Source organism: Homo sapiens, chromosome 20 (genome assembly GCF_000001405.40).
Source record: "Homo sapiens chromosome 20, GRCh38.p14 Primary Assembly".
Lineage (NCBI taxonomy): Eukaryota > Metazoa > Chordata > Mammalia > Primates > Hominidae > Homo > Homo sapiens.
The window spans coordinates 36,665,815-36,692,525 of NC_000020.11; the positions used below are offsets into that span (position 1 = coordinate 36,665,815).

At 44.3% G+C, this 26,711-nt stretch overlaps 1 protein-coding gene across 12 annotated transcripts in view, besides 1 other annotated feature; it reads right to left on the reverse strand.

The window, feature by feature from the left end:
- The window catches only part of NDRG3 (NDRG family member 3), a 94,320-nt gene that overhangs the window by 14,044 nt on the left and 53,565 nt on the right, over nucleotides 1-26,711 (reverse strand). For 10 of the 12 annotated variants that reach the window (NM_022477.4, XM_011528927.4, NM_032013.4 and 7 more), the window contains 7 exons: nucleotides 22,865-22,970; nucleotides 21,678-21,798; nucleotides 18,599-18,661; nucleotides 16,704-16,764; nucleotides 15,002-15,088; nucleotides 5,527-5,583; nucleotides 475-578 (listed from right to left, as the gene is read on the reverse strand). In NM_022477.4, the coding sequence (NP_071922.2) occupies nucleotides 475-578; nucleotides 5,527-5,583; nucleotides 15,002-15,088; nucleotides 16,704-16,764; nucleotides 18,599-18,661; nucleotides 21,678-21,798; nucleotides 22,865-22,970 (599 nt within the window). The remainder of the gene's footprint in view (nucleotides 1-474; nucleotides 579-5,526; nucleotides 5,584-15,001; nucleotides 15,089-16,703; nucleotides 16,765-18,598; nucleotides 18,662-21,677; nucleotides 21,799-22,864; nucleotides 22,971-26,711) is intronic. The other 2 variants (NR_038370.2, XM_011528928.4) reach the window with 1 other exon arrangement.
- Nucleotides 10,792-11,593: an enhancer, noted in NCBI's record as "H3K27ac hESC enhancer chr20:35305009-35305810 (GRCh37/hg19 assembly coordinates)". NCBI's record gives its function as "activates a minimal SCP1, AML or CMV promoter by ChIP-STARR-seq in naive H9 embryonic stem cells {active_cell/tissue: H9 hESC(naive)}" and the evidence as "EXISTENCE:reporter gene assay evidence [ECO:0000049][PMID:30033119]".

Below are 26,711 nucleotides of genomic sequence, written 5' to 3' on the forward strand. Positions count from 1 at the left end.
CTTGAACTCCTGACCTCATGATCCGCCCACCTCGGCCTCCCAAACTGCTGGGATTATAGGCATGAGCCACCACGCCCAGCCCTAAGTGTTTAATTTACAGGAATAAATTCCTTAAGAGAATGACTTACACTTTGAGGAGGGGGGAGGGGTGTTTTCCTTGTAACTGAGTTTAGCACAGGGCTTAATCTTTCTGATTTCAACTAAAAATAGGGAGGCTCTGTTATACAGAGGAAAGAGCTAAAGAGACAAGGTTCAAAATCTGGCTTTACTCCTTACTGGCTGTATAATTTTGGGTAAGTTACAGCTGATCCATTTCCTCAATCTTTGTCCATGTTTCTAGAAAGCCAGAAGGGGCTCACATTTTCACCTCGGAGAAGCTGGTCCCAAGATTAGATACAGTCCTCTCTCCTTCTCCCACCCTCCTCTTTTTAGAACCTGTTTACATTTAAGTGAAGAAACAGGAAAAAACTATACCCATTGTAGGAATTCAAGAAGAGCTGCAGGTTGTCTTGGTTGATGTCTTGGGCAATATGCATTCTGTAGGTTTGGATCAGGTCCAGGTTGGCCTGTAACTCTTCCTAGAACAATTGAAAGAAGACATGGGTAAGCTTCTGAGCTCCAGAATAAGTCCATCTTGTTTGGTTTGCATTTTCATTACCACAAGCCAAATCGTGCGGCTCATGATGGGAACTGGGGCAGAGCCTGGGGACTACTGATGTACTGGTAGGCTGAATGACTGATTATTTGCATCAGACTGGTTCAGTGCTATATTCTGTGTCAGATGAGGGCAGCAAAAGACCTATTATGGATTCAAGTACTAGCTGTGGAACTTAGGTCACCTCGTCACTCTGAACCCTGATTTCTTTGTATGTTTTTTTAATGTTCTGCCATTCTTCACAAAAACAGAGATATTGTAAAATGAAGACAATAACCAGCTATCTGACAAGGCTGTTTTAAAGATTAAGTAAGAAAAGTTATATAAACATATAAACCATAAAGTGTAAAACAAATGGAATGTAACATTTCTTTTCTTTTTTTATAAGATGGAGTCTTGTTCAGTCACCCAGGCTGAGCAATGGCGCAGTCTCAGCTCACTGCAACCTCCACCTCCCGGGTTCAAGCAATTCTCCTGCCTCAGCCTCCTGAATAGCTGGGATTAGAGATATGCACCACCATGCTCAGCTAATTTTTTTGTATTTTTAGTAGAGACGGGGTCTCACCATGTTGGCCATGCTGGTCTTGAACTCTTGACCTCAAGTGATCTGCTGCACCTGGCTACATTTCTTTTAATAACCATAAATCTTTAATAACCATAAATCTATAGCTTCACTGATATAATCAGCATATTACCTATCTATATATACCACCATTTAATATTACACATTGTATAATTATATATTCCATTGCGTTTATGACACTTTATTGATTTAGTAATTCATTATTTATTTTAATCTTTTAAATTTTATTTTAGAGATGGGGACTCACTACGCTGCTCAGGCTGGAGTGCAGTGGCTGTTCACAGGCACTATCATAATGTACTGCAGCTTGGAACTCCTGGGCTCAAGATCCTCCTGCCTCAGCCTCCTGGGGAGCTGAGACAACAGGCACACTCAACTGTGCCTGGCTCATTTATTTTAATCTTATTACCAATACTTTTAAAGGTATAAAATACGAGAGAAACAAAATGGTCTATGCAGTGAAAAGTCTCCCTCTCCACCACCCACTGTTTAATGGTCACTCTGTTGCTGGCCTTCTCAGATGTCATCAGAGCTAGCTGCCAGATTCTTGAGTACATAAGCATACATGTAAATACGTGTGTGCATACACACAACATCAATAAGCAGTTTTAAGCATAAAGAAATTGCATTGGAGGAAAGAAATATATCAGGGATAATTAAGAAGTCCGTTAATCCAGGGCAATGTGTAAAGTTCACCACCAAGACTTGTTAGAGAAATAGAGACATGGAAAAAATTTCTTCACATTTTCACAACCATGTGGATGAAATGAACCCAGAATACAGCTGGAAATTGACAAGCGTCTACCTGAAACTGAAGGGTACGCGAATCACTACTAGAAAACTTTGTGAGAGTCCCAGTCTCATTCTAAAGGTATTATAATAAGAAAAGTGAATACCAAATGACAGGCCAGGTGTGGTGGCTCATGCCTGTAATCCCAGCACTTTAGGAGGCTGAGGCAGGAGGATCTCTTGAGGCCAGGAGTTTGAGACCAGCGTGGGTTAACATAGTGAGACCCCCATCTCTACAAAAAAATTTAAAACTAGCTTAGTGTGGTGGTACGTGCCTGTAGTACTAGCTACTCAGGAGGCTGAAGGAGGAGGATGGCTTGAGCCCAGGAGGTCGAGGCTGCAGCGAACTAAGATGGCACCACTGCACTCCAGCCAGGACAACAGAGCAAGACCCTGTCTCAACAAACAAACAAATAAACAGACTCCCATCTTTTTAAAAACACAAATTATAGTCCTCTAGATATTGTTCTACACTTGCTTTCCCTTGTAAAGTATGGTAGAGATCATTCCTTATCCGGATATATAGAGCTATCTCATTTATTTACACTACCCATCTTCCCACATCCTTGCTAGTACAAACGTATTTTTAATTTTTTTCTCTTATTGGTGAAGTTGAGCATTATTCATGTTTAAAAACCATGTTTGTTTCCATTTCAAATTAATACAAGCATTAACTTGCTTACATGTTTTAAAATTTATTTTTAATTTTTATTATCTTTTTGACTGGTCAAGAGCAGTGGTGAGAAAGGGGAAAGAGTGGAACAGGGAATTCAATCTGTAACTAACTGTGAACAATCAATTCAGATAATTCCCTACCTTCAGACCAGCCTGGATGCTTAAATTTTAAATGAACTCTTCAGTCTTATGACAATCCACTATGACCTCATATGTTTTAAATTAAACATATATTTTTTATATATATGTACATACATAGTTATATATATACATAGTTATATATAGAGAGAGATAAATTGTATATATAGCGAGAGAAATATATATATATATGTAACTATATATATAGTGAGGATGTTCTTGCTTTTCAGAAATTATTAAATACTGGCCTTAGCTTTCCCCTCAGAGGCTTATATGAAGTAGTATTTCTTTTTGCTATGTTGCCCAGGCTGGTCTCGAATTATGGGCTCAAGTGATCCTCCCATCACAGCCTCCCAAGTAGCTGGGAACACAGGCATGGCTACTAAGCCCGTCTGATTTTTGAATTTTTTTTTTTTTTTGAGACAGAGTTTCGCTCTTGTTGCCCATGCTGGAGTGCAATGGCGCGATCTCGGCTCAACGCAACCTTCACCTCCTGGGTTCAAGAAATTCTCTTGCCTCAGCCTCCCGAGTAGCTGGGATTACAGGCACGTGCCACCACACCCGGCTAATTTTGTATTTTTTTTTTTTTTCTGGGATGGAGTCTTGCTCTGTCGCCCAGAGCTGGGGTGCAATGGTGCGATCTCAGCTCACTGCAACCTCTGCCTCCTGGGTTCAAGCAATTCTCCTGCCTCAACCTTCCAAGTAGCTGGTACTACAGGCGCGTGCACCACACGTGGCTAATTTTTTTTGTATTTTTAGTAGAGACAGGGTTTCACCATGTTGGCCTGGCTGGTCTTGAACTCCTGACCTCGTGATCCACCTGCCTCGGCCTCCCAAAGTGCTGGGATTACAGGCATGAGCCACCGTGCCCAGCCTAATTTTGTATTTTTAGTAGAGACAGGGTTTCTCCGTGTTGGTCAGGCTGGACTCGAACTCCCAACCTTAGGTGATCCACCTGCCTTGGCCTCCTAAAGTGCTGGGATTACAGGCGTGAGCCATGGCGCGCGGCCGATTTTTGAATTTTTATAAAGACAGGGTCCCACTATGGCGGACCTGCCTCAGCCTCCCAGGTAGCAGGGACTACAGGCATACACCACCACATCCCGCTAATTTTTGTATTTTTAGTAGAGACAGAGTTTCACCATGTTGGCCATGCTGGTCTCAAACACCTGACCTCAAGTGGTCTGCTCACCTCAGCCTCCCAAAGTGCTGGGATTACAGATGTAGAGCCACTGCGCCTGACCCCTAATTTGTAGTATATTAATACAATGAACTGCTGCTACACAGTAATAAAAAAGAATGAACTACTGACACATGGAATGACATGGATGAATCTCAAGACAGTATGTTAAGCAAAAGAAGCCAGACTCAGAGAAGTACACACTCTGTCATTCCATTTATATGAAGTTTCAGAACAGTCAAAATTAATCTATGGAGGTAACAGAATAGTGAAAATCTTGTTTGGGGTGGGGAATTATTGAGTGGGAAAGGATAATGAGGAAACCTTTGTGGGGTGATGAAAATGTTTTGTGTTCTGGGTGGTAGTTACATGAAACTATATACATCAGTAAATGGTCACTGAGGTGCACTTAGGATGTGTGCATTACACTGTAAGTATTACCTCAATTAAAGAGAGGGCAAGATGGAGGCAAAACTCAAAGGAGTCAGCTGGAAGAATTAAAGTGGTTGCCACTAAAAAGCAGAATATGGGGTAGGTGACAGATTCTTTGTAATAAGCCCTATAGAACTTCTCTACTCTAAAATATATGTGAATTTGTAACTTTGATAAAAATATGATGAAATAAAAGACTGTGGATTTTGGACTTGGCCTGACCTGGATTCAAATGTCAGCTCCACACTTACAATCTGGATAGTGGTGGCAAGTTATGTTGCCTCTCTGGTCTTTGGTTTCCCTATCTTAAAATCAGACTAATAGAACCATGTAAAAAACAACTTGGTTTGCACATCTAAAGTATTATAAATAATCAGTACTCGATAAATGCTAGTTTTCTTCCCATCTGCCATTTTCCTTCAGATAACATTTAAAATTAAGCAGAAAACAATTGAGCACCCACTCTCGTCTCCCCATTCTAGACACCTCACAGCTTTCTGACCTCACTGCTCATTTACTCCATCACTCCTTTGTCAGTCACCCAACTCACTTTTCCCTTTGAAGAAGACCAGGTTCCCCCTCACCTACCAATTAAGCTCCCTCCCCTACCCAGCAATTATGAACACGATAACTGCCACTTTCTGTGAAGACTTGTTTCCTCACCAGTTGAAAAACATGGGGCTTGAACAAGATAATCTCTAAGCTTCTTTTAGCACTATTATTTCAAGGTTTTTCCCCCTGAAATTTCTATTTCTGTGAAGCCTTTCCCAGACCTCCTAATGGCTCTAAAGATGTTTGGGGAGGCACGTGATGTCAAACATTAACAGATGGCATTCTACTTACAGGAACAGGTAGCAGGAGATGCTGTCTTCTCTCATAGCTCCACATGTCAACAGCTATGTGGCAATGAGTTAAAGATTCACCTTTGCAGGGCCACATGCCTTTCAGACTACATTGGAACTGTTACTTGCTAGGATCAGGTAAATTCTAAGGCAGCCCTTCTTTCCTAAGGTAAAATAAGAATTTGCATGCAAGCCAATAAACACAGCTCTTCTGGGTGGAACAGGTACTTACCTGCCCAAAGTGATGAGCCAAAATAATGTCCACAACATTGGTTGTCAGGCCAGAGAGCTGAAAAGATAAAAACTCTGTGTTAAGAATGTAAGCATATGCAAAAATTTATCAAGCTGCCCAATTAAAATGAGTGCACTTTATTATATATGTTATCTCTTTAAAAACAAATGAAAAACCCTTGGCCAGGTGCGATGGCTCACGCCTATAATCCCAGGACTTTGGGAGGCTGAGGCGGGCAGATCATGAGGTCAGGAGATTGAGACCATCCTGGCTAACACGGTGAAACCCTGTCTCTACTAAAAATACAAAAAATTAGCCAGGTGTGGTGGCAGGTACCTGTAGTCCCTGCTACTCGGGAGGTTGAGGCAGGAGAATGGCATGAACCTGGGAGACAGAGCTTGCAGTGAGCCGAGATTGCGCCACTGCACTCCAGCCTGGGCGACACAGTGAGACTCCGTCTCAAAAAAAAAAAAAAAAAACCCCACAATTCAGTGTTATACATTTCATGAGATGGTGGTTTCAAAGAAACATAGAGATGAGAAACAAGTCAGAAAAACTAAGTCTCCTTTGCAGGGTAATAATAAAGCCTGCTATGAAATAGGGGACTGGAAGGACAATGTCAATTCCTTCTTTGAAAGCCTGAGACCTAGACCTCACGGCTGTTTGCTACTTTATTCCTGTCTGTATTTCTGTATTTACACTGGATTTATGGCTGATAAGGACTAACTTAACAATCACTCCCATGACTTCCAAGAGACAAAAACAATTTTTTTCCTCTTTCTTCCAGTTTTTGCTATCTTCATTTCAGGGAGTGGGAGGAAATGAGTTGTTTACAGAATGTTCTTGAGTTTTAAACATTTTTCTCCTAATTTTTCCCTTTTCAAAATGATGCATCTCACAGTCTAATAAATGCAGCAATCTGTGTAAATCTGCATACTGTAGTCTATTTTCAGAAAAATTTCCAACTCAAATTATGTTGCTGATTCCTGTTCGGCCTTCTTCCTTGGTTTTATGCTGAACCTGTACTGCTGATCAGGGATGAAGTACTGAATTGGGGGTAAGAATGGAGAAGAGGCACTGAGGGAGACAGACATGGCTATGCCTGGAGTAGGATCATATAGTTCCAGAAAGACTGAGGAAGAAAGAAGTCCTGAAATCTTCACATAGGTTATCAGTGATGCACAGGTTATGAACTATAGAAAAGTAGGCTGGGCGTGGTGGCTCATGCCTGTAATCCCAGCACTGTGGGAGGCCGAGGCCAGCGGATCACCTGAGGTCAGGAGTTTGAGACCAGGCTGACCAACATGGTGAAACCCTGTCTCTACTAAAAATATACAAATTAGCCAGGCGTGGTGGTGTGCGCCTGTAGTCCCACCTACTCAAAAGGCTGAGGCAGGAGAATCACTTGAACCCAGGAGGTGGAGGTTGCAGTGAGCCGAGATCATGCCACTGCACTCCGCCCTGGGCAACAGAGCAAGATTCCGTCTCAAAAAAAAAAAAAAATGTACCCACATATTAAGAAAGAATTAGGACACGATTGATTGACAGGGTCTCTCTCTGTCACCCAGGCTGGAGTGCAGTGGCACCATCATAGCTCACTGAAGCCTTGACCTCCCAGGCTCAAGCGATTTTCCGGCCTCAGCCACCCAAGTAGCTGGGACTACAGTTGTGCACCACCACGCCAGGCTAATTTTTTAAATTTTTGTAGAGACGAGGTCTCACTGTGTTGCCCAGGGTAGTCTTGAACTCCTGAGCTCAAGCAATCCTCCTGCCTCACCCTCCCAAAGTGCTGGGATTACCAATGTGAAACACTGCGCCCAGCCAGGACATATTTTAAATAAGCCAGGCTGTGAGAAGGAATTTCCATAGCATCTGGCAATAGCACTGTTAATGTGTTTTAGCTAAGAAATACCTCATTTCTCCAAAATGTAAACATAGGAAGAGATGGATAAATGATTTAGAATCTAGTTTGCTGATGACTAGAATATTTTAAGTTTTAATAAAAATATGCTTATCACAAGAAATTACGAAAAAACAGAATACAAAAGACATCATTTGTTTGTTTTCTTTTTTTTTGAGACAGGGTCTCGTTCTCTTGTTCTATCACCCAGGCTGGAGTGAAGTGGTGCAATCCAGGGTCACTGCAACCTCCACCTCCCAGGTTCAAGTGATTCTTCAACCTCAGCTCCCGAGTAGCTGGGAACACAGGCGTGCACCACCACACCTGGCTACGTTTCTGTATTTTTAGTAGAGATGGGTTTCACCATGTTGGCCAGGTGGCCAGGCCGGTCTTGAACTCCTGACCTCAAGTGATCCGCCCACTTTAATGAATACTTTAAAGCATTAAAACAATGCTTTAATGAATATTCTGGGTTTGCAATTTACTAGCAGTGTAATTTTAAGTAAATAATGTCTCTGTAGGATAGTAATGATACCAATGGATTGTCCTGAGGCTGAAAAGTTAAGTATATCTAAAACATTTGGCCGGGCGCAGTAGCTCACACCTGTAATCCCAGCACTTTGGGAGGCCAAGACGGGTGGATCATGAGGTCAGGAGTTCAAGACCAGCCTGACCAACATGGTGAAACCCTGTCTCTACTAAAAATACAAAAATTAGCTGGGCGTGGTGGCACGTTATCTGTAATCCCAGCTACTCAGGAGGCTGAGGCAGGAGAATCACTTGAACCTGGGAGATAGAGGTTGCAGTGAGCCGAGATCACGCCACTGCACACTCCAGCCTGGGCAACAAGAGTGAAACTCCGTCTCAAAAACAAAAAAACATTTAAGAACAGTGCCTGGTACACAGTAAGCACTACATAGGTGTTACCTTTTTTAAAAATTTATTATCCATCTCTTTAAATCTTTTTTTTCTTTTTTGAGATGGAGTCTCACTCTGTCACCCAGGCTGGAGTGCAGTGGTGCAATCTTGACTCACTGCAAACTTTGCCTCCCGGGTTCAAGTGATTCTCCTCCTACCTCAGCCTCCCCAGTAGCTGGGATTACAGGCGTGTGCCACCACACCTGGCTAATTTTTGTATTTTTAGTAGAGACAGGGTTTCTCCATGTTGGTCAGGCTGGTCTCGAACTTCTGACCTCAGGTGATCCGCCCACCTCGACCTCCCAAAGTGCTAGGATTACAGGTGTGAGCCACCACGCCCAGCCCTCTTTAAGTCTTTTTAAGGATCACTAACTACCTTTCAAAAAAGTTCCTAGATATGGACTTATTGAATCTCATGGTTTGAGTATCAATAAAGCTTTTTTTTTTTTTTTTTTTTAAGACAAGGTCTCTCTCTGTCACCCAGGCAGGACTGTAGTAGCATGATCATGGCTCACTGCAACCTTGAACACCTGGGCTCAAGCAAGCCTTTCCCTTCAGCCTCCCGAGTAGCTGGGACTACAAGCGTGTACCACCTTTTAAATTTTTGTTGACACAAAGTCTTGTTCTGTTGACCAGGCTGGTCTTAAACTCCTGGCCTCAAGCGATCCTCCTGTCTTGGCCTCCCAAAGTGCTAGGACTACAGGCATGAGCCACCATGCCCAGCCAGATTTTTTTTTTTTTTTTTTTTTTTTTTTTTTGAGACAGGGTCTCTGTCACCTAGTCTGGAGTCCAGTGGTGTGATCATGGCTCACTACAGCCTCGACCTGCTGGGTTCAAGTATTCTTCCCACCTCAGCTTACCGAGTAGCTGGAACCACAGACGTGTGCCACCACAACTGGCATTTTTTTTTTTTTTTTTTTTTGAGACAGTCTCGTCTGTTGCCCAGGCTAGAATGCAGTGGCATGATCTTGACTCACTACAACCTCCACCTCCCAGGTTCAAGCGATTCTCTTGCCTTAGCTTCCCAAGTAGCTGGGATTACAGACATGTGCCACCAGGCCCGGGTAATTTTTGTATTTTTAGTAGAGACGGGGTTTTGCCACGTTGGCCAGGGTGGTCTTGAACTCCTGACCTCAGGTGATCCATCTGCCTCTGCCTCCCAAAGTGCGGAGATTACAGGCATGAGCCACCTCACCTGGCCCGCAACGGGCTACTTTTTAAGTTGTTTTTTTTTGGGGGGTGGGGGGGATGGAGTTTTGCTCTTGTTGCCCAGGCTGGAGTGCAATGGCACGATCTCGACTCACTGCAACCTCCACCTCCCGGGTTCAAGTGATTCTCCTGCCTCAGCCTCCCGAGTAGCTGGGATTATAGGCATGCGCCACCATGCCTGGCACATTTTGTATTTTTAGTAGAGACGGGGTTTCTCCATGTTGGTCAGGCTGGTCTCGAACTCCCGACTTCAGGTGATATGCCCACCTCGGCCTCCCAAAGTGCTGGGATTACAGGTGTAAGCTACTGCACCTGGCCTACTTTTAAAATTTTTTGTAGAGATGGGGTCTCACTATGTTGCCCAGGCTGGTCTCTAACTCGTGGGCTCAAGCGATCCTCCTGCCTCAGCCTCTCAAAGTGCTGAGATTACAGAGGTTTATAAACCACCGTGCCCAGCCAATAAAGACTCTTGATACATTTGACAAGTTGGGTGGTGGTATTTTGGAGACTTTATCCTGCAATGGTGTATTAGAACATTTACGGCAATGTAAAAGTACTGAGAAGTAAGCATTTGTTTAAAATGAGATTAACGGCTGGGCGCGGTGGCTCACGCCTGTAATCCCAGCACTTTGGGAGGCTGAGGCGGGCGGATCATGAGGTCAGGAGATCGAGACCATCCTGGCGAACACGGTGAAACCCCGTCTCTACTATAAATACAAAAAATTAGCCGGGCTTGGTGGCGGGCGCCTGTAGTCCCAGCTACTTGGGAGGCTGAGGTGGGAGAATGGCGTGAACCCGGGAGGCGGAGCTTGCAGTGAGCCGAGATAGTGCCACTGCACTCCTGCCTGGGCGACACAGCGAGATCCGTCTCAAAAAAAAATAAATACATACATAAATAAATAATAAAATGAGATTAACAGATTAGGCATCTTTTAGCAGGAAATAAAACCTTAATTTTCTCTCTGGAAATCAGTGATTTATTATAAAATACCATAGTTTTAGATTAAAATAACATACACATAACATTTGTACTTCATCAAGAAAATGGTTCAAAACTTTTTCTAACCTAAAAAGTGTTTTTGTTTGTTTGTTTTTTGTTTTGTTTTGTTTTTTTGAGACGGAGTTTTGCTCATCACCCAAGCTGGAGTGCAATGGCACGATCTTGGCTCACTGCAACCTCTGCCTCCTGGGTTCAAGCAATTCTCCTGCCTCAGCCTCCCGAGTAGCTGGGATTACAGGCATACACCACCAGGCCTGGCTAATGTTTTTATTTTTAGTAGAAACGGGGTTTCGCCATGTTGGCCAGACTGGTCTTGAACTCCTGACCTCAGGTGATCCACTCACCTCCGCCTCCCAAAGTGCTGGGATAATGGGCGTAAGCCACGTGCCTGGCCTAACAGTGAATTATTTTTAGCATAGGTGAGTTGAATGCAAGTGATGGCAGTGGCTGCTGCCATCACGCTGTGTGGCTGGGGCTGCACACGCCATGGAGCTGGCGGAAGCCCCGCCCCTTCCGGGTTGGGACCAGAGCCGCAGACCCAGGCCTCCTGCTCTATGGAGCAAGCAGGATCCCCGCCCTCCTGGGCAGGGCTACAGCCGCCCAAACTGCAGCTGTGGATCTCAGCCTCCCTGTGCTCTTGGGGGAACTGGGAACAGGCAGGATTTGCCTTCCCAGGTACAGCTGCAGCCGCTGCGCCTGTGGCTGCAGACCTGGGCCTCTGGCTCCGGGAAGCGAGCAGGAGCTGGGGACAAGCGGGAGCCGGGCCCCTTCCCAGCTGGCGGGCTGGGAGCTCCCAGGTGCAGCTGCAGCCGCCCTCCCAGGCGTAGGACTGGGGCATCTCTGCAGCCTGCACCCTTGGGCGCCCCAGGAAGGGCCCCTCCAAGCCCCGGGGCCATGAATGGAGCGGGACGCAGGCAGAGTCCTGGGCAGAAGGGGGCAGGGTTCCCAGTAAGGCCCCACCCTCAGGCCAGGGAGGCCCTGAAGGCTACGGGCTGGATTGCCAGTCGCCCAGACCAGTCAGGACTTGTGGCACCTCTTCCCGGCCTGCCCATGGCCGCCCATGGGCCAATCAGCATGCACTTCCTCCCTTCTGAGGTCCATAAAAGCCTTGGGCTCAGCCAGCGCAGGGTAGAGGATGGCCAGAGGACAAAGAAGGTAGAGACACTGGACAACCAGCTGCAGAGAGGAATACACTCTCCACTGAGCGCTTCAGGGACAACCTGCTGGCAGAGAAGGGCTACTCTCTCTGCTGAGAGCTTCAGAGACCTGCAGAGAAGTCGGAATGACTCGCCTGTGGAAAGGAACCACCTTCTCCAGGGCCTCCTGTCGGCAAAGAGCTGAACACTCGACTGGACGACCTGCCTACAGAGAGGAGCTACCCATTCCTCTGAGCTGTTCTAACACTAAATAAAACTCTTCTTCACCCTTCACTTGTCTGTGTACCTCACTCTTCCTGGATGCAGGACAGGAACTCAGGCAAAGGTGCTGTGGCCACAGAAGTTTCTGGCTAGACAAATCAACACCCCAGAGATCCCATAACACAAGGGATATAATTTTTTCCTTATTCCCACTTTTCTGTTTTAAAAAAATGTCCTCTCCCAACAGAATCACCCATTTTTTACTCTGGTTTGGGACTGGGACTGGGAGTGCTTATATTTGTAAAGTCATTAGCATTCCCTTTAGTTTCCTATCTCCTTGAATGGATTTTAGAGGTTAAATTCCTTCCTTTTTGAGTTAGCAAACACCAGCAATCCACATGTCGTTGGAAGGAGTAGCACAGATAAAGTGCTGGGGTTCACTGTGGAGTGATTCATTCATTTCATTCAGTAAGAATAAGAAAATGCAAACTATAGACTAGGAGAAGCTATTTGAGATACATGTACCCAGGACGCACATACAGAATATTTTTTAAAGTGGGGAGGGGAATGAGGGTGAGGGCAAAAGAGTTGAACAAACACTTCACAAGAGGATATTCAAGAAAAGATGCTTGACATCACTGCCCCTTAGGGAGATGCAAATTAAAACCCAGGATTGGCCGGGTGCGGTAGCTCACACCTGTAATCCCAGCACTTCGGGAGGCTGAGGTGGGTGGATCACGAGGTCAGGAGTTCAAGACCAGCCTGGCCAAGATGGTGAAACACTGTCTTTACTGAAAATACAAAAATGAGCCAGGCATGGTGGCAGGCACCTGTGATCCCAGCTACTCGGGAGGCTGAGGCTGAGAGTTGCTTAAACCTGGGAGGCAGAGGTTGCAGTGAGCCAAGATCATGCCACTGCACTCCAGCCTGGGCGACAAGAGCGAGACTCCGTCTCAAACAAACAACAACAGGATTATCTATCTATAAGCATAGCTTAACATTTAAAAGATGATGTAATTAAAAATTCTTATTTTAATGACTAAAGCTATTTTGGTAATGGAAAACATAAAAACAAACTAATATCACAAATAAAACTGCTTGTCTTTTACTAAAATTAAAAGTACTTATAATATCAAATGTTGGTGATGTGGAGCAACTGAAACTTTCACGCACTGCTGTTGTGTAAATGGTTAAATACTTTGAAGACATTTTCATTTACTTTATTTTTATTTTTGTTTTCTTTGAGAGAGAGTCTCACTCTGTTGCCCAGGCTGGCGTGCAGTGGCACGATCTTGGCTCACCGCAACCTCCACCTCCTGGGTTCAAGCAATTCTCCTGCCTCAGCCTCCTGAGTAGCTGGGATTACAGATGTGTACCATCATGCCCCACACCCCAGCTAATTTTCGTATTTTTAGTAGAGACAGGGTTTTGCCATGTTGGCCTGGCTAGTCTTGAACTCCTGACCTCAAGTGATCCTCCCACCTCGGCCTCCCAAAGTATTGGCATTACAGGCGTGAGCTACCATGCCTGGCCTTGGTCAAATACTTTGGAAAACTGTTTGATTATATCTACTAAAGCTAAACATACAAATGCCCTATGACATAGCAATTTCACTCCTAGGTATAAACCCAAGAGAAATAAATGTGTATGTCTACTGAAAGACATAAGGAATATGCACAGCAGCTTTACTCATAAGATCCAAATAACAGAAACAACTCGTTCTGTGTATTCACACAATAGGTTACTAAAGAACCGTTTAGAACTCCTGTTAAATTGCAATTTTTTTTTTTTTTTTGAGACAGAGTTTCACTCTTGTCACCCAGGCTGGAGCGCAATGGTGTGATCTCAGCTCACTGGAATCTCCACCTCCCAGGTTCAAGTGATTATCCTGTCTCAGCCCCCCGAGTAGCTGGGATTACAGGCACCCACCACCACGCCCGGCTAATTTTTGTATTTTTAGTAGAGACGGAGTTTCGCCATGTTGGCCAGGCTGGTCTTGAACTCCTGACCTCAGGTGATCTGCCCACCTTGACCTCCCAAAGTGCTGGAATTACAGGCGTGAGCCACCGCGCCTGGCCAAATTGTAATTTATTTATTTATTTATTTTTATTTTTTTCAGATGGAGTTTTGCTCTTGTTGCCCAGACTGGAGTGCAATGGCACGATCTTAGCTCACTGCAACCTCTGCCTCCCAGGTTCAAGTGATTCTCCTGCCTCAGCCTCCCGAGTAGCTGGGATTACAGGCATGCACCACCACACCCGACTAATTTTGTATTTTTAGTAGAGATGGGGTTTCTCCATGTTGGTCAGGCTGGTCTCAAACTCCCGACCTCAGGTGATCTTCCCGCCTCTGCCTCCCAAAGTGCTGGGATTACAGGCATGAGCCACCGTGCCCAGTCCAAACTGTAATTTAGAACTACTGCTACATACAACTTGGATGAGTTTCACAGACACCGTGATGAAAGAAAAGAAACCAGACAGGCTGGGTGCGGTGGCTCACGCCTGTAATCCCAGCAGTTTGGGAGGCCGAGGCGGGTGGATCACAAGGTCAGGAGTTCAAGACCAGCCTGGTCAAGATGGTGAAACCTGGTCTCTCCTAAAAATACAAAAAAATTAGCCGGGCATGGTGGTGGGCACCTGTAATCCCAGCCACTCGGGAGGCTGAGGCAGAGAATTGCTTGAACCGGGAGGTGGAGGTTGCAGTGAGCCAAGATCATGCCACTGCACTCCAGCCTGGGCAACAGAGTGAGACTCCATCTCAAAAAAAAAAAAAAAATACAGTTTCTATGATTCCAATTTAACAGATAAAACTGTTTAAAAACAGATAAAACTTATCTCTGGTAACAACAGTCAGAACAGGTAATTTCTGGGAAGGAGAGGAAGTATCAATTAGGAAAAGATACAACGGAATCCCCTAGTGAGCTGGGAATATTCTATATCTTGATTGGATGGTGATTTTATATGTAAACATTCTTCAAGCTATATACTTAACATTTTTACCCTTAACTGTATATATACCTCAATGAAAAACTGGTAAGCTGTTTTGAGATGGGCCAAGATAAGCCGATGGACACCTTCATGTGGTACTTACTTTGGAAGCTGCCCAGTCAATCCAGCCTTTAGCGCAAGGGTCAACATTAATGAGCACAAGGCCTTCCACAAGCTCTGGATGGTTGAGCTGAAAGATGAGGCAAAGACAATAGTATGAAAGCTACACTCCCACAGTTCTTCTAAACAGTTGGAACATGGTTGATCAATTCTTACTTACATGCCTTAATGCCTCACATTTGAAAGTAAGACTACAAAGAGGGAGAACATGTGGAAAAATAGCTCTTGAAATCTGACTTAGCATATGGAAACCAGTTTCTGGTTTTGCTATCAAATTACTTATTTTACTATCAAATTATCTTGTCTTGCAAAGATCTATATGCAGTTGTTCAATTCATGGTGGATCTTCCTCATTGGGAAAGTGCGCTTGGCACAAGCAGCTGCTCCATGCTCATATATCTTTGTTCTCAACAGAGGCTTCTGAAGTTTTTTTTTCTGAAACCATCTGAACAGTCTGTATCATCCTCAGAAGACTCTCCTATCACTGAGGACGTATTAAAAAAAAATAATGATAATAATGTCTGGCCGGGCACGGTGGCTCACGCCTGTAATCTCCGCACTTTGGGAGGCTGAGGAGGGTGGATCACGAGGTCAGGAGTTAGAGACCAGCCTGACCAACATGGCGAAACCCCATGTCTACTAAAAATGCAAAAATTAGCTGGGTGTGGTAGTGGGCGCCTGTAATCCCAGCTACTCAGGAGGCTGAGGCAGGAGAATCACTTAAACCCAGGAGGCGGAGGTTGCAGTGAGCCGAGATTGCACCACTGCACTCCAGCCTGGGCGACACAGCAAGACTTCATCTCAAAAAAAAAAAAAAAAAAAATTTATAATAGGAGCTCTAGCTCTCTAGCTTATTTAATTTAATTTAATTTAATTTTCTTTTTGAGACAGAGTTTCGCTCTTGTTGCCCAGGCTGGTGCAGTGATGCTATCTCGGCTCACTACAATCTCGGCCTCTAGGATTCATGCAATTCTCCTGCCTCAGCCTCCTGAGTAGCTGGGATTACAGGCACCTACCACCACGCCCAGCTAATTTTTGTATTTTTAGTGGAGACGGGGTTTCACCATGTTGGCCAGGCTGGTCTCGAACTCCTGACCTCAGGTGATCCACCCGTGTCGGCCTCCCAAAGTGCTAGGATCACAGGCGTGAGCCACCGTGCCTGGTCCCTGGCTTACTTTTTTTCTCTGACTACAGTGATTATATTCACGATAGAAAATTTGATAAGCAGAGAAATTATAAAAAGCAGAAAATAAAAATTTCACATTATCTTACCACATATCAATCCATTAATATTTTTTGGTACATTTTCTTCCAGTCCTTTCCTATGGCTATGACAAACTTTATGTCAATCTATATTCTAACTTTTTGGTTAACATTATAATGTATGCAAACCATGTATCATTATAAAGCTTTTCGTAAACTTAATTTTAATGGCCGCACAAAATTCCATTATAAGCAGCATCTAGGACTTGCTTTTTATTGATGATGTACTGTCCCCATTTGTGATTTTTCAGGTATTGTTAAGTACAAAGCTAGGCTTTATACAACCTGTATCTAAAGCTGACAGAAGTTACAGAAAAACTGACATAAGGCCCAGAATACTGCCTGGTCATTTAACACAGCAGTAATAGCTGTGACCCAGGCACTGCCTCAAGGATGTTGAGGCTAATCCTCTACATACTTACTGCAAATCTGCTGAGGATGTAAGCTCCAGCTCCAACTCCAATTCCAATGATGCTTTTCAGGCTGTGAATGGGACATAACGACAACTGACAGAGTCAACTTCATTTGCAGGCAGCATTGCATAATTGAAAGCATACAACCTGGGTTGAAATCCTGGCTCTGATATTTATTAGATGTGAGAATTTGGGCAAGTGTTTTTTTTCTTTCCCCTAACTTTCTGAGCCTCAGTTCCTTATTTATAAAACAAGGATCTCAGCTGGGCGCAGTGGCTTACGCCTGTAATCTTAGCACTTTGGGAGGCCGAGGCAGGCGGATCACGAGGTCGGCGGATCACGAGGTCAGCAGATCAAGACCATCCTGGCCAACATGGTGAAACCCCGTCTCTACTAAAATACAAAAAATTAGCCGGGCATGGTGGCGTGCGCCTGTTAAAAAAAAAAACAAAGGCTGGGCACGGTGGCTCACGCCTGTAATCCCAGCACTTTGGGAGGCCGAGGCGAGCGGATCACGAAGTCAGGAGATCGAGACCATCCTGGCTAACACGGTGAAACCCCGTCTCTACTAAAAATACAAAAAAAATTAACCAGACATGGTGGCGGGCACCTGTAGTCCCAGCTGCTCGGGAGGCTGAGGCAGGAGAATGGCATGAACCCGGGAGGTGGAGCTTGCAGTGAGCCGAGAATGCGCCACTGCACTCCAGCCTAGGTGACAGAGTGAGACTCTGTCTCAAAAAAAACAAAAAACAAAACCAAAAAAAACAAGGATCCCACCAACTACTTTCAAGTTGGTTTTAATGGTTAAATAAAATATAACTGAGACCGGGGGCAGTGGCTCACGCCTATGATCCCAGGACTTTGAGAGGCCAAGGCAGGTGGATCATTGAAGGTGAGGAGTTCGAGGTCAGCCTGGCCAACATCATGAAACCCCGTCTCTACTAAAAATACAAAAAAAATTAGCCAGGCATGGTGGCCTGTGCCTGTAATCCCAGCTAAATGGGAAGCTGAGGCAGGAAAATCGTTTGAACCCAGGAGGCAGAGGCTGCAGTGAGCTGCGATCGCACCACTACACTCTAGCCTGGGTGATGGAGTGAAACTCCATCTCAAAACAAATAAATAAATAAATAAATATATGTATATATATGTATATATACATATATATATACACACACATATATGTACACACACACACACACACACACATATAAAAATATATATAACTGAAACCTGGGAGTTATCCTTGGTAGCTGTCAGTATCCAACCCATCAGCAAGTCAGTGGAGTCTATCTCCAGAATATATCCATCTACCTACTACTATCTACTTCAATCATCCCCCAACAGCAGCATCCAGTACCATGCTATCATTATCTCTTGCCTGGACTATTGTTAATAGTTTAACTGTTCTCCCTGCTTTCTCTCTCTGATTCTTCTCCAAACCATTCTCTTCTCAGTGAGATGAACGTTTTTAAAAAAATTTAAACAGCTTTATTTTTATTTTTTAGATACAGGGTGTCTCACTGTTACTCAGGCTGGAGTGCAGGGGTGGGATCACAACTCACTGTAGCCTTGAACTGCTGTTGTTAAGTGATCTTCCTGCCACTTGGCCCAGCTCAAGGTAGATTTTTAAATCTTCTAGGTCTCAGCGTGTGTGCCACCTTCCTAGAGAGGAATTCCCTAACTTGCCTTACTAATGTAGATCCCACCCTTATTCTCTATCACAACACCCCCACTGACTTATTTTATAGAACTTTATTATTTGTTTGCTTACTTGTTACCCCACTAAGCTCTAGGAGGACAGTGATAATATTTTTCCTAACCATCATATCCTCTGAAACAGACACTAAATAATTCACCATAGAAAGTCAATAAAAACTGCATGAAAGACTGCAGAATGAACCTACCTTAGGTGGGTAAGAACAGGAGGCAGCATTTCAGCCAGCTCATCCATTGTGGGGTACTGATACCTGCAATCCAGAAGGATATCTCCTGAATTAGAAAGCACTCACAATTCCCAGTTGCTAGAACAGCTGGAAAGGTCCAGAAGTCTTAGATAAAAGGCTGAGCGCAGTAGCTCATGCCTATAATCCCAGCACTTTGGGACACCGAGGTGGGCAGATCACCTGAGGTTGGGAGTTCGAGACCAGCCTGACCAACATGGAGAAACCTCATCTCTACTAAAAATACAAAATTAGCTGGGTGTGGTAGCACATGCCTGTAATCCCAGAAACTTGGGAGGCTGAGGCAGGAGAATTGCTTGAACCTGAGAGGCGGAGGCTGCCGTGAGCGGAGATCATGCCATTGCACTCCAGCCTGGGCAACAAGAGCAAAACTCCGCCTCAAAAAAAAAAAAAAATCTTAGATAAAAGCATTTCCTTTTACCAAAGGCTCAAAGGAGGTGATGTGGTACCCTGAAAATGATTGTGGCATATTGTGTAACTCTCTACAACTGCCATGCTAAGGAGAAAGTAAAATAATCCACGGTTTCTATATCCTAACAAGCAGCCCTTGGGACCAGAGGGTGCCACATGAAAAGAACTAGTAACATGGTTCTCTCTTAGGGTATTTCCAAACCTCTAACAATCTCTTCAGTTGGAGTCCAGGCTCAGTAAACCTCCGGCAGTAAGAGTCAACTCAGAAAGGGGGTCTTGGTCTACTGCTATATTTAGGCAACTAAATGCAAAAATAAAGCTTTTCTAGGTATGGGCACACAGTTACAAACCCTTAGCATGAATGCTTATTTGTTTCACTTAGGCATAGAATAACATAGTTATTTTTAAAATTTTATTATTATTATTATTATTATTATTAATTTTTTAAGAGACATGGTCTCACTCTGTCACCCAGGCTGGAGTGCAGTAGTGAAATCATAGCTCACTGTAACCTTGAACTCCTGGGCTCAAGCTATCCTCCTGCCTCAGGCTTCTGAGTAGCTGGGACTACAGGCGCATGCCACCATGCCTGGCTAATTTTTCAATTTTTTGTAGAGATGGAGTCTCGCTATGTTGCCAGGGCTGGTCTTGAATTCCTGGCCTCAGGTGATCCTCCTACCTCAGCCTAACAAAGTGCTAGAACTACAGGTGTGAGCCACTGTGTCTGGCATGGTTATTTTATTGTATTTGAATTTGGTTCATAATATGAACCATCTGATCCTAAGATGTTCGAGCAGGCCCAGGAACAGACCCAGATCAGAATTCCTAGAAAAGTAGTAAGCATCCGACTGGGAGCGTTGGCTCACGCCTGTAATCCCAACACTTTCAGAGGCTGAGGCAACCAGATTGCTCAAGCCCAGGAGTTCGAGACCAGCCTGAGCAACAGGGCAAAACCCTGTCTCTACAGAAAATAACAATAATTAGCCAGGCGTGTTGGCACACACTTGTAGTCCCAGCTAGTAGGGAGGCTGAGATGGGAGGATCACTTGAGCCCAGGAGGTTGAGGCTGCAGTAAGCCATGATCACGCCACTGTACTCCAGCCTGGGAAACAAAGCACTATCCTATCTCAAGAAAGAAAGAAAAAGTATTACAGAATTGGAGATGGAATTGATCCTAAGATGACCACTTATATATGAGGCAGGATCTGTTCTACATCTGACAGGGAAGTCAGCCTGCCTCTGCCTGAACACTTAAGGGGATGGTGTGCTGTGGAACCATTTGTCCACAAAATAGAAAAAAGGAACTGGATACAAATCTTGTTGGATATAAACTGACCACTGGCCAATTTGCATTTTAGAGTCAGATTCTGGCACCAGACTGTCTGGGTTCAAATCTTAGCTCTGCCACTTATTTGTTATGTAATGTTAGCCATGTTACTTAATTTTTCTGGGCCTCAGTTTCCTCACTTATAAAATGGGAATAATAGTAAACTTATCCCATAGGGTTGTGAGGAGTAAATGAGTTAACAAATGTAAAGCATTTAAAGCAGGGTCTGGAACACGGTTTGAGTACTATTTAAATATTAGCTATTATTTGTCTGCAATTGTCTATTTCCCAGCAGTCACTGGCCAAAGGCAGCTCTGGAGATGAGTGAAAGGATAGGGGAAGAATTAGCATTCCACAGAGTGTGTGCTCACTCCTCCTAAGGTCTTCTCAATAAGCACCCGTCCAGGGAACAAACAGGTAGGGAGCCTATGACTCTGCCCTGCGAAGCAGATGTAGGAGGAAGCTGAGAGTGCCAAAGCCAATCAATCACCCCACACCTCTATCTGCCAGGACAGCCTCTCAGAATAAACAGTTACACAGATAGTCAAATTTCCATTACTAGTTTGAGAGCTAAGGATGGGGAGATGCTCCCAGGAAAGCTCAGAGAGATCTGAATTTGGGCCTAAGTAGTTGGGAGTTTTGAGGAAGGACACAAAAATGACAGGTTTTTTTGTTTGTTTGTTTTCTTTCTGGGGACAGGGTCTTGCTCAGTCATCCAGGCACTGCAGCCTCAATCCCCTGGGCTCAAGTGATCCTCCCACAACAGCCTCCCAAGCAGACACGACCACAGGTGAACACCACCATGCCTGGCTGGCTAATTTTTCAATTTTTTGTAGAGACAAGGTATTCCTATGTTATCCAGGCTGGTCTTGAACCCCGGGGCTCAAGCAATCCTACTGCCTTTGCCTCCCAAAGTGCTAGGATTATAGGTGTGAGTCACCACGTCTCGCTAAAAAATGACAGCTTTCAAACAGATAAGGAAGGGAAAGATAAAGACAGTGAGGAGTAGATGTTCCAGACACTTATGCCTTGAGATTACAGGAAAGCAGGCACCTGCTATGGAGAGCCATTCCTGGATATGGGAAAACACACAGTTTCCCCCAAAAAACTGTACATAACAGTCCTCTCAGCCCAAGGAGAGAAAATATGAGGATGGTTGGTCAATAAGCATAACCTATAGACGGTAATAAAATCAAAGGGAAGCACACACCACTTCTCCCACTGGAGCTCAGCCAGTTGCTCTACTGAGTGCACGTCTCCCAGATGATCTTTTCGTGGCCTTACCCTGTTGGGAAAGAGGGTGCACCTTCCTGCTGGCCTGGGGCATCCACATGACAGACAGCAAAGTGCTGGGTGATCTCTTGCATATCCTCAAAGTTAAAGAATGCATTGAAACAGGATTTATCTATAAGAATAAAAATACCCATAAGTCACAGGCTCTCCATATCGCCCCAATTTTCCTCTACTCAGTCAATGCCTATTATCACCTTCTTTCCCTGCTTTTTAACCACCATTCCACCAAAGTGAGGTGTCTGAACAATCTGTCTGATTCAAGCTGCCCTAAAGGCTGAATATAAGACATCTCATATTGAGATACATATTGAAAACAATTCTTAATTCTAAATAATGTCTGCAAAGTAGAAATTACTTTGTTAATATTTGGTGGTTTCCGATTATTGCACAAAATAATCTTACACCCATAATGCTGTCATTTCTCATGGACATTATTCCTCTATCTCACAAACAGACACTGATTATACCCCAAGAGCACAGGTGGCGTGAATGTCCTGAGCTGTTCACATTCACCACACGGGAGTTTGTCTCTTGGCAAAATTGCCAGAGTGAAGGGAGGGGCTGCTGCTTCCACTTCTACCCTCTTTGTATACCTGCTTAAATCACTTCTCATGCCAAGGCAGCTACAAAAGCTTTAACACTCAACTGTGGCCTCAAATGCAGGGCATCTATGAAAGCCAGAGCAGCATGAAAGAAAACACATGTATGCAGACTCTGTGTGTCTATGGCTGGGGCCAGAATCTTACACTACCATCTAGAAAAGTCCACTTAAAGTCACTGGTGACAGGCTCTAGCAAGAATTCTTACTAATTCATTGAAGAGCTCACAACAAAGTTAAGTTCCAACTCTGAATTTTCTAACCTGAAACATATTTAAAAAAAAAAAACAGAGTACAGGCTTGAAAACATGGATTTCAGTTCTACTTTCTTAGCAGTGCATTGTATAATCTGCAATCCTTTAGCAGACATGAAGGCGAGATGTGATTCCAGTATCCCCAGAATACATTCCCCTGCACACTTCCCAGGAACTTTATACCATTAACGAATGTAGGAACAAGGAGGGAAAGTTACCACAGAGAGGGGGAAACCTCTGCTCTATTAGAATATTGTTGTTGTTTGGTTTTTAACATACAAAGATCAAGTATGATAAGAAGGGAAGGTGTAAAATAAAATACATACGGTTGAGGCCAATGTCATGATATGTTAGTATAACTGGTCTGTTTCCTTTGGGTAAGCCTCTTATAGTGACGTGGACCACACCATGAGTTGTTTCTATATCATGTTCCTGTAACAAGAGAATGTAAGTTCTCAGAAAAAGCAGAATGAACTTCCCAGGTTGCCAAAGTTTCACAATACCTGCTTTACCACCGTTTCCCACGAGCTGGGGCAGGACACATTAATAAATTACATGTGGCTGGGCGTGGTGGTTCACGCCTGTAATCCCAGCACTTTGGGAGGCCTAGGTGGTCGGATCACTTGAGGTCAGGACTTTGAGGATCAGCCTGGCCAACATGATGAAACCCTGTCTTTACTAAAAATAAAAAATCAGCCAGGCATGGTGGCACACGCACATAATCCCAGCTACTCAGGAGGCTAAGGCTGGAGAATCACTTGAACCTGGGAGGCAGAGATTACAGTGAGCTGAGATCGTGCTACTGCATTCTAGCCTGGTGACAGAGCAAGACTTCGTCTCAAAAAATAAAATAAAATAAAATAAATGCATACCAGAGAGATGCTAGAGTATACATAATATTCCTACTTTCCAATTCTTCCAGAAAAATAAATAGGGAGCAAAACACACCTTGTTATCTCCAAAGCTCACTTACGAGCCCAGGGATCTGTTGAGAATACATTTGCAATTGGCTATGGAAAGGAAATCAGCAAATTGGGTAAGGAGCCAGGTAAGACTTGTGGGGAAAAAAGGAAATGGAAGATATGAAGAAGTTGCTGGGTAAAAAATCAGAGGTTTTGGAGCTTCTGAACACATGTTCAGATAATTTATAATTAATTTCAGTAGATAATTTCACCAGACACCTATGGGTGTATCTGCCTAGGATCCCTTCTTTCCTGGGAGCTGTCCTTCTGTGTCATCCACACGTTACAGGGGTGGATCTTGGCTACCATGTTTGTGGAACATAAACTTACGGCCATAGCTTACTGGAGTCAGGGAGGCATCTGGCCCAGGCTGGGTCAGCACCTTTCCCTTGGAACTAAGAGATTTTTTTTTTTTTTTTTTTTTGAGACAGAGTCTCGCTCCGTCACCCAGGCTGGAGTGCAGTGGCGCGATCTCGGCTCACTGCAAGCTCCGCCTCCTGGGTTCACGCCATTCTCCTGGCTCAGCCTCCCAAGTAGCTGGGACTACAGGCACCTGCCACCACGCCCAGCTAATTTTTTGTATTTTTAGTAGAGACGGGGTTTCACTGTGTTAGCCAGGATGGTCTCGATCTCCTGACCTCATGATCCACCCACCTCCGCCTCCCAAAGTGCTGAGATTACAGACGTGAGCCACCGCGCCCAGCCTGTAATTGGAACTAAGAGATTCTAACTTCAGCTTGGCTCTCCTCTTGAAAAGAGGAATCAACTTGGGAGATTTTAGTAGGCATTTCCACTACTCTAATTTCTGGTGCTAGCTGTGTATACTTCTAAGTTCTAAGACATCCCTGGACTGCCTCTGGTTTAAGCTATATTGGGTGAGTTTGTACCCTCTACTCCTAAAAGATCTTAACCAAGCCAATCAGTTAAAGATGTAGCCAGAGCAAAGCTCAGGAACCAAATAGAGCAGACAAAAGATGCACCGAGCAAAGCTCAGGAACCAAATAGAGCAGACAAAAGATGCACCGAGCAAAGCTCAGGAACCCAATAGAGCAGACAAAAGATGCACCGAGCAAAGCTCAGGAACCGAATAGAGCAGACAAAAGATGCACCGAGCAAAGCTGAGGAACCCAATAGAGCAGACAAAAGATGCACCGAGCAAAGCTCAGGAACCCAATAGAGCAGACAAAAGATGCACCGAGCAAAGCTCAGGAACCCAATAGAGCAGACAAAAGATGCACCGAGCAAAGCTCAGGAACCCAACAGAGCAGACAAAAGATGCACCGAGCAAAGCTCAGGAACCCAATAGAGCAGACAAAAGATGCACCGAGCAAAGCTCAGGAACCGAATAGAGCAGACAAAAGATGCACCGAGCAAAGCTCAGGAACCGAATAGAGCAGACAAAAGATGCACCGAGCAAAGCTCAGGAACCGAATAGAGCAGACAAAAGATGCACCGAGCAAAGCTCAGGAACCGAATAGAGCAGACAAAAGATGCACCGAGCAAAGCTCAGGAACCGAATAGAGCAGACAAAAGATGCACCGAGCAAAGCTCAGGAACTGAATAAAGCAGACAAAAGATGCACCGAGCTGCTGAGAGTAGATGCCGCACTAAGAGTGGTTGGGTGGAAAAAAAAGGGACTACTGAAAAGTTAACTGAGATTTATTCTAGTCGTGCTCAAGTTTTATATTTCTCAAAAATAAAAAAATTACCATTCCTATCCTAGCGAATTTCTGTTGATGAAGCCTGTATCTATCTTACAAAGTCTTACATTAGGTAAGACAAGATTAACTCTGTCAATGAGAATCCCAAAAAAGGCAAAGGGCTTCCAGTTTAATTTCCTATCTAATAATGAACCTCATAAGAGCTTTGGTTTCTTCTCTGATGTGGGCACCAGAAGACAATCTTAAGCTAATTGGACATCAGTATATCTCAAATTACAGGCCCTAGGCTGGAGCCGATAGCCATCCCTACCAAATCAAACCATGTGTGACTCAATATTTCTGTTATTTTCTATTACTACTACCTCCTAGTCAAGTCTATTCAAAGCCTTCAAAAATGAACATAAGAAATGAAGACTAGAATCAGGTACTGTGAAACTGGCTATGAAATAAAGTATAGGCCAGGCGCGGTGGCTCATGCCTGTAATCCCAGCACTTTGGGAGGCCGAGGCAGGCAGATCATCTGAGGTCAGGAGTTCAAGACTAGCCTGTCTAGCACAGTGAAACTCTGTCTCTACAAAAATATAAAAATTAGCCAGGCATGATGGCAGGTGCCTGTAATCCCAGCTACTTAGGAGGGTGAGGCAGAAGAATTGCTTGAACCCGGGAGGCAGAGGTTACAGTGAGCCGAAATTGTGACACCACTGCACTCCAGCCTGGGTGACAGAGTGAGACTCTGTCTCAAAAAAATATAACAAATAAAGCATAAGGTTTGGATAGGAGGAATATAAAGAAATAACTTCCTATTTCTGTATTTCTCTTACAGTAATGTCAGACTTATTAAAGGACTCACTTCCCGACCCTGGTTCATTCATTAAACATCTATTTATTGAATGCCACTCCATGCCAGACCCTGGTCTGAGTTGTGGGGATAAAACAGTAAACCTGAGAAATGTGATCCCAGTCTTCACAGAGATTATGTTCTACATAGGGAGGCACACAATAAACACAGAAACAAATCCACCTGTAATAATAGCTTGTGATAGGTGCTATAAAAGAAACAACTAGGGTGCTACGATAGAAAAGTAAGAAGACATTACCTTCACTAAACAGACAGGAAAATGGAAATTAAATTCAATAAAATACTATTTCATACATACCAAAATGGCAAAAATGTAAAGTCAGATAATGCTAAGTGGTGACCAGGATGCAGAGAAATAACTAAGAACCAACATATACTGTTTTTTACGTTTTGTTTTGTTTTTGAGACGGAGTCTTACTCTATCGCCCGCCCAGGCTGGAGTGCAGTGGCACGATCTCAGCTCACTGCAACCTTCACTTCCCAGGTTCAAGCAATTCTCCTGCCTCAGTCTCCCAAGTAGCTGGGACTACAGGTGTGCACCACCAAGCCCCACTAATTTTTGTATTTTTAGTAGAGATGGGGTTTCACCATGTTGTCCGGGCTGGTCTCGAACTCCTGACCTCAAGTGATCCACCTGCCTCGGCCTCCCAAAGTGCTGGGATTACAGGCGTGAGCCACCGTGCCCCACAAG